Source organism: Homo sapiens, chromosome 4 (assembly GCF_000001405.40).
Source record: "Homo sapiens chromosome 4, GRCh38.p14 Primary Assembly".
NCBI lineage: Eukaryota > Metazoa > Chordata > Mammalia > Primates > Hominidae > Homo > Homo sapiens.
Window position 1 is genome coordinate 4,211,400 of NC_000004.12, and position 12,692 is coordinate 4,224,091.

A 12,692-nucleotide genomic window follows, 5' to 3' on the forward strand; every position below is an offset into this window, starting at 1 on the left:
GTGACTCTGAGCAAGTCACTTGTCTTCTCTGAGCTCCAACTTCTTCGTTAGAAAAAAATGAGGGCAGAGCCTGCCATTTGCAACAACATGGGCAAATCTGGAGGACATTGTGCTCAGTGGAATAAGGCAGACACAGAAAGAAAAATACTGCATAATCTCACTTATATGTGGTATTTAGAAAAACGTTTCTAATCGAATGCACAAAAACAGACAGTAGAAGCTGGGCATGGTGATGTGGGCCTGTAGTCCTACCTGCTAGGGAGACTGAGGCAGGTGGATCACTTGAGCTGAATTCAAGGCTGCAGTGATCTGTGATGGCACCACTGCACTCCACCCTGGGCAACAGAGCAAGACCCTGTCTCTAAAATTAAATTAAATTAATAAATAAAAACAAAATAACCTAAAGAGTAGAATGGTGGTTGGAGAGGAAAAATTAGAAGATTTTGGTCAAAGGGTACAAAGTTGCAAATACGCAAGACGAATAATTCTAGAGACGTAATGGACAACGTGAAGACTATAGTTAATAATATTGTATTGTATACTGGAAATCTGCTAAGAGAATGGATTTTAGGTGCCTTACCATACCCAAAAAAAGAAAGGCAACTATGTGAGATGACAGACATAAATATGCTTGACTGTAGTAATCACTTCACTATGGATAGGAATATCAAAGAATCATGTTGTATATCTTAAACATATACATAAAAAAGAAAAAAAATGAGGCTGACAATTCAATAGTTCAGATCCTGACTCTGATAACATTACCATGGATTTCTGCCAAAGGCGAACACTACCCTGAAGACCCATCTAACATTCTTTTCAACCATGAGATTTTTCTGACCCTAAGCTGTGTATTTAAATTATATTTATCAAATCCTTACTTCTGAGCCACACCAAGTTTACCAGTGCTGTGGGAAACAATCCTCATACATTTCTAAAAGATTTTAATCCCCAAACGAGAAAACAAAAGTGTTTCCATGACCCAGAGGAGGCACTGCAATGGCACAAGGTTTCTATGAAGGAAGAATATTAAATTTTTTAGAAAAATAAAATTGATTTTGGCAACTGTTGCATAACTCTATGAACAGACTAAACCACTGAATTGCACACGTTAAATGGGTGAATTATACGCCACGTGAATTCTCTCAATAAACCTGTCACATACCCAGAAAATAAAATTCCCTCAAGCCTTTACTGTAGACTCTGGCTTGGCAGAATTTCCTGACTCTTCATCATTAGAAGTTCTGCCTCATAGGATCCCTGCAAAAATGGCCATGGGGACACAGAGTTTTATTTTGCAATGGAGGCAGCTGAAGAACTAAGCCTCAAAGACAGATTTCAGTTCACTGCAGTTCACAGCTGTGCACACTGTCTCCACCTGCCACACGTCTTGATGTTACAAGTTTCTACACAACCTGGGATACACTTCATAGGAATGAGACAATATAAATAAACATCAGTGGTTTACCTGCAACAAAGTATGCACTGAATGGGTGACTGGGAAAACTCCTTCAGTGGCTGATAAACATTCTGAAAATCCAATGAAGTATCCAATTTTAAGGCATCCCAGGATGACGGTAATGACTGCAAACAATGTGATACTACCTAAATGTGGGATGAAGGGGGAAGTGGAAACACACACATTGCATTAACATACATTGATGTCATTTCAAAATAAATTATATTGTGTATTAAACCCTTATGTATATGGTCAAATGATTTTTCACAAGGGTGCCGAGACCATTCAATGGGAAAAGGGCAGTCTTTTCAACAAATGTGGTGGGAAAACTGGATGTCCACATGCAAACGAATGAATTTGGACCCTCACCTTACACCATATACAAAAATTAACTCAAAACAGATAAAAGATCTAAATATAAAAGTATAAACCTTGTAAAAGAAGACATGGGAGAAAGCTTCATGACATTGGCTTTGGCAATAATTTCTTGGCTATGACACCAAAAATGCAAGCAACAAAAATTAAATAAGATGAACTACATGAAAATGAAAAATTTTTGCACATCACAGGACACTACCAACGAAGCGGAAAGACAGCCCACAGAACTGGAGAAAACATTAGCAAATTATATATCTAATAAGTCATTAATATCCACAATATACAGATTTGTTTACATTAAATACCTCATATAATGAAATCGTACAGTACTGTCCTTTGGTGGTTGAGTTTATTTTACTTCGCATAATGTCGTCATGGCTCATCCATACTGTATCGTGTGTCAGAATTTCCTTCCTTTTTAAGCCGAATAATATTTTGTTGTATGTCTATACCTCATTGTATTTATCCATCTATCTGTTGATGGATGCTGGGTCGCTTCCACCTTTTGGATACTGAAAATAATGCTGCTATGAGAGAATTTGTAGAGAATTCTTATATATTAACAACAATGGGTTGGGCACAGTGGCTCATACCTGTAATCCCAGCACTTTGGGAGGCCGAGGAGTGTGAATAACTTGAGGTCAGAAGTTGGAGACCAGCCCAGCCAACGTGGTGAAACCCGTCTCTACTAATAATACAAAAATTAGCCTTGGTATGGTGGTGCATGCCTATAATCCCAGCTACTTGGGATGCTGAGGCAGGAGAATCCCTTGAACCAGGGAGGCAGAGGTTGCAGTGAGCTGAGATCATGCCATTGCACTCCAGCCTGGGCAACAAGAGTGAAACTCTGTCTCCAAAAATCAATCAATCAACAATGACAAAAGCCAATTGAAAAATTGGCAAAGGACATGAATAAACATATCTCCAAAGAAGACATAAAGATGGCCAGCAAGTACATGAAAAGATGCTCACCATCACTAATTACTAGAGAGGTGCAAATCAAAACTACAAAATACCATCACACTATCAGGATGGCTACTATCAAAAAAAAAGAAAGAAAATAATAGAAAATAGCAAGCATTGGTGAGGATATAGAGAAATAGTGCTCTGTTGGTAGGAATGTAAAATGGTACAGCTACTATTGAAAACAGTAGGGAGGGCCTTCAAAAAATTCAAAATACTATTATGGCATGATCTGGCATTTTCACTTCTGAGTATATACCCAAAAGAATTGAAAGCAGGGACCCTAGGGGATATCTGTATTCTCCTGTTCATAGCAGCATTATTTTCAGTATCCAAAAGGTGGAAGCAACCCAGCATCCATCAACAGATGGATAGGTAAACACAATGAGGTATAGACATACAACAAAATATTATTCAGTTTAAAAAGGAAAGAAATTCTGACACACGATACAGTATGGATGAGCCATGAGGACATTATGCTAAGTAAAATAAACTCAACCACCAAAGGACAATACTGTAGGATTTCATTATATGAGGTATCAAATGTAAGCAAATTCATAGACAGAAGTAGAATGGTGGTTGCCAGGTGCTAGAGGGAGGAAAGAATGAGGAGTTAGTGTTTAATGAGGACAGAGTTTCAGTTTTGCAAGACGAAAAAGTTCTGGAGGTTGGTTGCACAAAAGTGTATATGTTCTTAACACCACTGAGCTGTACACTTAAAAACTGGTAAGTTGGTAAATTTTATGTATATAAGTGCATGTTTTACCACAATTAAAAATATATTAATAAAATAAATTCTAGCCCAGGCATGGTGGCTCATGCCTGTAATCCCAGCACTTTGGGAGTCCAAGGTGGGAGGATCACTTGAGGCCAAGAGCCTAAGCAACCCCATCTCTACCCAAAAATAACATAATAATTATTTCTAAATAAATAAATGAATTCTACTGTTGAGCTGCGAAGGTAAAACTAGAAGGCAGGTGCTGTGTCCTGTTCATCATTGTACTCACCCCATAGCCCAGAGTCTGACAAATGATACACAATCAACAAAGCCTGGTCCAATCAACAGAAGGCTTCTAGAAGCTTTTTCAAAAAGGAGCAATTTAAGAATGTCACTGCTCTACTCAAAAATCTCAGTTCTCTAATCCTAAAATCCTGTTCTCTAAAGAATAAGAGTGCAGCTGGCTGGGTGCAGTGGCTCACACCTGTAATCCCAGCACTTTGGGATGCTGAGGCGGGTGGATCACCTGAGGTTGGGAGTTCGAGAGCAGCCTGACCAATGTGGAGAAACCCCATCTCTACTAAAAAATACAAAATTAGCGGGTGTGGTGGTACATGCCTGTAATCCTGCTACATGGGAGGCTGAGGCAGGAGAATCACTTGAACCCAGGAAGTGGAGGTTGCAGTGAGCCGAGATCGCATGATTGCACTCCAGCCAGGGCAACAAGAGTGAAACTCTGTCTCAAAAAATATATATATTAATATGAAATATAAGAAATAAGAGTGCAGAGTGTGCAGGTCATACAGATATACAGGAATTCTCTGAACTGTCTTTGCAACTTTTCCATAAATCTAAAGCTTTTCTAAAATAGAAAGTTTATTTATTTATTTATTTGAGACAGGGTCTTGTTCTGTCACCCAGGCTGGAGTGCAGTGGCACGATCTTGGCTCACTGCAACTTCCACCTCCTGGGTTCAAGTGATTCTTGTGCCTCAACCTCAATCCCAAGTACCTGGGATTACAGGCGTGCACCACCATGCCCAGCTAATTTTTTGTATTTTTAGTAGAGATAGGTTTTTGCTATGCTGGCCAGGCTGGTCTTAAACTCCTGGCCTCAAGTGGTCCGCCTGCCTCAGCTTCCCAAAGTGCTGGGATTACAGGCATGAGTCACTGAGCCCGGCTGAAAGTATATTTAAAAAAAAAATAGATGGGTAAGGGCTCTATAGTAGTAGCTGAGGAAGGGCCTGTGCTAGGTGTACTGAAGAAAGGAAGCAATCTTTGATAATATAATGAGCATGGTTTTGCCCAAAATATAAAAACAAACTAATAAAAAATTTGCATATAAAAAAGACTGGAAAGGAATATACAAAATACATTAAAAAGACACTTGGTGACAAATGAAGAAATTAGTGAGAAAAAGGCAGTGATCACGAGGACTTGGTCAAGTCAGAGTTCCTCCTCTCTCTCCTGGGCTAGCATTGACCGCCATTTATACATTTGCTCCTACCGACAGGAGGAAACTGGATCGTGTATGACGTGCATTAAGGCACTGAGCAGAGAGGAGGGCATGAGCCATAACATTGGGCTATAACGTTACATCTCCAGCCTCAGAAGCCTCCTCTGAAAAGTAATGCAATCGCCTGGCGCTTTTCCACTGCTCAAAGCCTTATAGAAACAACTCTAACTCACATTTATTTTTTAATCCTGGAAACACCCCAATGAAATCAGAAACTTTGTAAGAGTGGAGATTCGATCCCAGTGCTTTGAAATGTTCTGACAAATACGTGGTTGGTTTTAATTACAAAAAAACATAGCAAGATGAGGCGAGGCAGCGTGGTTGAGTGGCAAGAGCACAGGCATGAAACTGTAGAGACCTGGACACTCACAGAATACATGAGTCACTTCCTGCTCCCAGCCTCAGGATTCCCATACAGAAAATGCGGATGGTCCACAGCAGTGGTTCTCAAACTGGAGACTGCATCAGAATCAGCTGCAGTGCTTGTTAAAACACAAATTCCTGGGCTCCGCCTCCAGAGTTTCTGATTCAGCAGGTGTGGACGGGGCCCCAAAATTTGCATCTCTAACAAATTTTCAAGTGGGGCTGCCACTGTTGATCTAGGCCCCACCTTGAAAACTACTGGTCTAGACCATCTCTGTGGTTGACTTGTCAAGGGTTCAGGAATAAATACTTTACATATTTTCTTATACTCTTTAAGTTCTCCCTTTCTTCCTGTGTTCATCCATTCATCCAGGGATTCATTCACCCGGTTATTTATACAACAAATATCTTGGGGACTCCTACTATGCATGAGGCATTGTGTCAAGGGCTCAAAGACAGACATAGGAGATTGCTGTAGAAACAAAAATATACAAGTATAATATTGCATAAATTGAGGTGTGCACAAAATATCAGAGAGATGAGCTGGCAACAGACTTTTTCTGTGCGGCCTGGGAAACCAGAAGACAGTGGAGGAATGTGCTGCAAGGAAAGGACTGCACCTCAAAAACCTTACTCCCAGCTAAGATGTCGCCCGCGTGTCAGGGCAAAAGGCAGAATGATGTTTGAAGATACACAAAATGTAATTTTTTCAACAACTATTTATTGAGCAGAAACCATGGGCCAGGCATTGTCCCAGGCATTGAAGATATAAAGGTCAATAAAATAGAGTATCTGCCCTTGAGGAGTTTCACATCTAGTGGGGAAGGCAAAAAATAAACCAGTAAATAGTAAACATATAAAGAATGTCAGGAAGTGCTAAGTGCATGAAGAAAAGTAAAGCAGAAAAGGGAACTGAGGTTGAAGGTACATGGGCAGGAAAGGAGGTGATTGTTGAACAGAGAACAGAGGGTGAGAGAAAACTGTCATCCACATAACTTGTCTGACAAAGGACTTTAATCAAGCAGCTTGTGAACTGGAAGAGAGTCCCCAAAAGAGGGGAAGATGAAAAGGAGAGCAAATTATAGTGACCAATCAACTTTGTGGAAAGCTGGAGGAGGGTGGAGGTATAATGGATGGAGAGACAGATGGAGATAGATAATTAGATTAATAGGAGAGAAAAGAAGAAAAGAACTTAAATTCAAATGGATAAACTGCCTGAGATGTGTAATTTACATGCCCTATAAAGACTTGTCATACAGAATAGACATTTTGAGGCGAAATTCTATTAACTATCTCTACAAAACCCCTAAGTTTGGCCAAGCACAGTGGCTCATACCTGTAATCCCAGTGCTTTGGGAGGCCGAGGCAGATGGATCACCTTAAGTCAGGAGTTCGAGACGAGCCTGGCCAACATGGTGAAACCCCGTCTTTACTAAAAATACAAAAATTAGTCAGGTGTGGTGGCAAGCACCTGTAGTCCCAGCTACTTGGGAGGCTGAGGCAGGAGAATGGTGTGAACCCGGGAGGCAGAGGTTGCAGTGAACCGAGATTGCGCCATTGCACTCCAGCATGGGTGACAGAGCGAGACTCCAACTCAAAAAAAAAAAAAACCTAAGTTGGAAAAGGACTGGATAGGGAACAAAGAAAAACCTTTGAAAGCCCTCATGGTAAATAAATGGAAAAGGAGAGGGAAGAAGGGAAAGGAATAGGGAGGCAAACGTACCCTAAAGGTCTCATCCCATTAGGTAGAGAGGAAGTGGAAGCAGCAAACATCTTGGAGTGGGACACAGTGTGGCTCACTGAGGGAAATGTTCAATATTTTGTTTTCAAATAAGAATGCAGTAATAGGCAGCTGAGCACGGTGACTCACACCTATAATCCTGGCACTTTGGGAGGCCAAGATGGGTGGAACACTTGAGGTCAGGAGTTCGAGACCAGCCGGGCCAACATGGTGAAACCCCGTCTCTACCAAAAACACAAAACATTTGCCCAGTGTGGTGATGGGCACCTGTAGTCCCAGCTACTTAGGAGGCTGAGGCAGGAGAATCGCTTGAACCTGGGAGGCAGAGATTGCAGTGAGCCAAGATCATGCCACTGCACTCCAGCCTGGGTAACAAAGCGAGACTCCGTCTCAAAAAAAAAAGAATGAAGTAATATGCATCTGATTATGAGAGTGAGGGAAGAAAAAAATGGCCATTAATGGAATAAAAAAATCACAATAAATTTTTCAAATGCTCAAAAAAGGCAAACATGTGGAAAAGGAAAAGGAGGAAATAGGAACGTAAAATGTATCATCATAAACATCGTAAAGAAAAATGGAAACAAAAAAGCCAACTGTATAAATTATTACTATAAATTAGAATGATGTAAATCCTCCCACTAAGTAGTAAGCAAGAATAGGAAGACTGAATTAAAAACAAAACCTAGTTACATGATCTTTACACAAATTGCACTTTTAACAAAGTAATAAAGGTTTAAAATAAAGTAGTGAACAAAGAGGAATGCAACAAAAAGAAAGTCAGAATGGCAATATTAATATCAGACCGTATGGGATTTAAAGTTAATGTAATAAGTAGGATAAAGAATCCTTCCTCCTTTATCGCTACATATGATAAAAGACAGATTGCCGGGCGCGGTGGCTCACGCCTGTAATCCCAGCACTTTGGGAGGCCGAGGCGGGCGGATCAGGATGTCGGGAGATCGAGACCATCCTGGCCAACACGGTGAAACCCCGTCTCTACTAAAAATACAAAAAAATTAGCCGGGCGTGGTGGCGGGTGCCTCCATGCTACTCGGTAGGCTGAAGCAGGAAAATGGCGTGAATCCAGGAGGCAGAGCTTACAGTGAGCCAAGATCGTGCCACTGCACTCCAGCCTGGGCGACAGAGCGAGACTCTGTCTCAAAAAAAAAAAAAGACATACTGTATGAGGAAGATATAACAGCCACATGTGTGCCCAAATAAAACAGTTTTTGCTTTATATATATGCACATATATATGTATAAATATATATACGTGTATATATGTATACATATGTGTATACATATATATACACATATACATGTATATATGTATACATATATGTATATATACACATATATGTATACACATATATGTGTGTATATACGTATACATGTATACATATATACACATATATACGTATACATGTATACATATATACACATATATACGTATATAGGTGTATATACATATATATGTATATACATGTATATACGTATATATGTATACATATATACATATACGTGTATATACATATATATGTATACATATATATATATATATATATATATATTTTTTTTTTTTTTGAGATGGAGTTTCACTCTTGTCGGCCAGGCTGGAGTGCAATGGCGCAAGCTCTGCCCACTGTGACCTCCACCTTCCAGATTCAAGGGATTCTCCTGCCTCAGCCTCCCTGCTTTATATATTTAACTGCTGGTAATAAAAAAACAGAACGGAAAATTTCAGAACTAGATAGATCAAGTAGACAAAATATAAGACATAGAAGAATTGAATCATACAATCAATGAACTTGCTTTGATATGTATATAAAATCTTCCATACCTCAAAACAGAGTATACAATGTTGGATGTCTGTGGAATATTGACAAAAAATATGCTCTAAAAGACAGTAGAACATAGAGTGGCAGAGGCCAGCTGCCCATTTCCTACCACTTATTAGTTGATGACCTTGGGCAATTACTTAACTTACCTTTGCCTCAGTTTCCCCATCTCTAAGATGTAATGACAGTAATAACACCTATCTCATAGGGGTGCTGAGGAGATTGAGTGAGTCATTACATGGAAGTCACCTAGAACAGTGTTCCTTACCTAGAAAGTTCTATAAGAGGGATGTTATTATCATCACTCAATCGCCAAGAAAAAGTTGATGCATTAGAACCAATTAGAAAGTTTACCAGCTACAATACTTGAGAATAATCCAAAGACTACCTAGGGTACCCATCCAGTGATGGCAGAGGGAACCCCCTCCTCTTTGTTAGGCACCCAAATCCCTCCTAGGAGTCTAGAATCTTGAACCCCCCTCTTAGAGGTGGAAAGTCCCACAGAATTAGTCTACATTCTATCCCATGCAAGAATGCTTTCCAATGCATCATGACCGGCAGCCATCTGACCTCTACTTGGACAAGCTCAGGGCTAGGAGGCTCAATATCTCTCAAAGCGTACCCTACCATCACCAGCTGGTACTTACTTTATTTATATATTATTTTATTCTATTTTATTTTATTTTATTTTATTTTATTTTATTTTATTTTATTTTATTTTATTGAGATGGAGTCTCACTCTGTTGTCCAGGCTGGAGTGCAGTGGCATGATCTTGGCTCACTGCAAACCCTGCCTCCTGGGTTCAAGCAATTCTCCTGCCTCAGCCTCCTGAGTAGCTGGGATTACAGGCACTCCACATAGCGAGACCCCTGTCTCTACAAAAATCAATTTTAAGAAAATGAGCCAGGCGTAGTAGCACACACCTGTAGTCCCAGCTATTCGGGTGGCTGAGGTGGGAGGAGCTCTTGAGCCCCAGAATTTGAGGCTGTAGTGAGCTATAATCACACCACTTCATTCCAGCCTGGGAGACATAGGGAGACCCTGTCCTTATTTAAAAATAAAAATAAAATAAAGAAAGAAAGAAGACTGTGCAGGTGTTGCCTCCTCCCTGAACCTCTCAGCCTTCCTGCAGACCTGGGCTCCTCCCAGGCCCCTGGTTGCAGCCCTGCTCAAGGATGCTGTACTGATTACTCTGTCCCCACCCCCAGGCTCCTAGAAGTTGAGGGCTAAGTCTCACAGGTCATGCTCCCCAGCTTCCCAGTGAGGGCTCATTAGTTGTTTGTTTATTGCTGTTTCTCTGCCTGAACATCAGCTCCACCTGAGCAGAGCCTTTCATAGCTGAAACCCCAGTGCCCAAAACAGAGAGCAGCAAATGATTCATAATTTGCTGTGTCCCACCACACCCAGCTTTTTGTATTTTTAGTAGAGACGGGGTTTCACCATGTTGGCCAGGCTGGTCTCAAACTCCTGACCCCAGGTGATCTGCCCTCCTCAGCCTCCCAAAGTGCTGGGACTACAGGTGTGAGCCACCACGCCTGGCCTGGTGCTTACTTTAGAATGCTTTTCTTTATATTGAAGTGCAGTTGACTTCCCAGAACCATCATCTTCTTCCCTGGAGCTTCTATCTTCACTTGTTCATCCACCCATCTAGTCATCCATCCATCCATCCAATCATTCAATCATTCAATTATTTAGTAGACACGAATTGGCATTTACTACATGTTAGGCACTGTGCCAGGAGCTCAGGATACAACGGTAAGCACAGACAGGGTCTCTGCCTTTAGGGGCTCAGTCTGGCTACCCCAACAGTCACTGAATAATACAATCTCCTGCTTGATTAGTGCTAGAAAGAAAATGAAGAGTGCTATGAGACCATACAACCTGGGGGCTGCCCCTGGTCTGAAACTATCGGGAGAGGCTTCCCAGAGGAAATGACTCTTGCTTGCTGAAAGACAGAGGATGGCCTGGAGCTGACAGGTGCAAGGCAGCAGCACTTTCTACCCTGTGACCTCCGCATCCTTCTCTCTTCTGGACTGACCCTCCTTTTGCTCCTCCTGCCGCCACTCTTTCCAGTGGCCTGTGAAATGCTCAAGGAGGATGAGACCCTCCACACACAGTCTGATTTCCTTTCCAATGAAAGCCAAGCCCGCATCTGATTTTTTGGCAGCCACATTCGCTTGTTTGTGTTGAAATCATGACACTATGTCTATATTTTCCACTGGACCAGAAATATCATCTAAGAAAACAAATATGTAAGAAAATGCATGGAGTTAAGCAAGACCCTCATAGTGGCCCCAGAATGGATCTTGGGGATCACTGCTCTTTTTCCTGAGGGACTTGCCCTCTGCCTATTGATCTAAGATTGTCACGAACACCAGGGCAGAGCTGAGTTCCTGAGTCAAACCTGTCTTTCTAGCTAGAATTCCAGAGGAAACCCCAGTCCCTGTTGGGGCTGAAGGTGCTTCCTTTTGGCACCAGGGCCTCCCAACACTAATAATTAGCTTCTTGCTTCTTTGAGGAACCCACAGGAATGGCCAGGGCTTTGCAAACTGCTTCTCTCAACATCCCCCAGCTCCTCCCAGAGAGGCAGCTGGGATTCTTATCTTACTGATGAGGAAAGCAGGACTCAGAAAGGTGACGGTGATAGAGCTGAGACCTCAAGCCAAACCTTCCAGAGCCAACACCATTTCCATGATACACACACCTCATTTGAATTACATTATTATGGGGCAACTCACTGAATGTCTAAACAGCTGTCATCTACTGAACACCTATCACGTGCTCTCTCTACCTTGCCCATTTATTCCCTCTCTACTTAGTGTCCCAAAGACACCTCAAACATAGCATGTCCATAGGAGAAATGTAACATGTCATTGGTTTTGTGTCCCCACCCTGCTCTTCCCTTTGGCTTCCCAATCTTGGGAAATGGTGCAACCATTCACCCATAGACTCAGGTGCCAATGCTCGGAGTCAACCTGAAAGGAGGCAGAGAGAGAGGAAGAACAAAAAAACATGGATGGATGGATGGACGGACAGATGGATGGATGGATGGATGGATGGATGGATGGATGATGAATAAGTGAATGATGATAGAAGCTCTGGGGAAGAGGATGATGGTTCTAGGAAGTTAACTGCACTTCAACATAAGGAAGAGCATTTCTTGGATAAGCACAGACTGAGTAGAAAAAAAGAAGAAGGAGGAGCAGAAGGAGAAGGAGAAGGAGGAACATTCTAAATGCACCAGGCCGGGCGTGGTGGCCCATGCCTGTAATCTCAGCACTTTGGGAGGCAAAGGCAGGCAGATAACCTGAGCTCAGGAGTTTGAGACCAACCTGGCCAACATGGTGAAACACTGTCTCTACTAAAAAATACAAAAATTAGCTGGGTGTGGTGGCATGTGCACCTGTAGTCCCAGCTACTCAGGAGGCTGAGGCAGGAGAATCACTTGAACCCAGGAAGTGGAGGTCGCAGTGACCCATGACTCCAGCCTTGGCAACAGAGTGAGATTCCATCTCAAAAACAAAAACAAAAACAAAAACAGCAGGGGAGAGAGGAAGAGAGGAAGGAAGAGAAAGAGAGGAGAGAGAGAGGGAAGAGGGACAGTGGAGAGAAGGATGGAGGAAGGAAGAGAGGAAGGAAAGATGAAGGAGGAGAAGAGAGAAAGAAAATGAGGAAAAAAATAAGGAAAGGGAGGCCAGGCATGGTGGCTCACACCTG

General features: G+C 41.9%; 1 protein-coding gene across 1 annotated transcript in view; it reads right to left on the reverse strand.

The window, feature by feature from the left end:
* The window catches only part of OTOP1 (otopetrin 1), a 38,204-nt gene that overhangs the window by 22,674 nt on the left and 2,838 nt on the right, over positions 1-12,692 (reverse strand). The window contains exon 2 of the mRNA NM_177998.3: positions 1,469-1,605. Within this exon, the coding sequence (NP_819056.1) occupies positions 1,469-1,605 (137 nt within the window). The remainder of the gene's footprint in view (positions 1-1,468; positions 1,606-12,692) is intronic.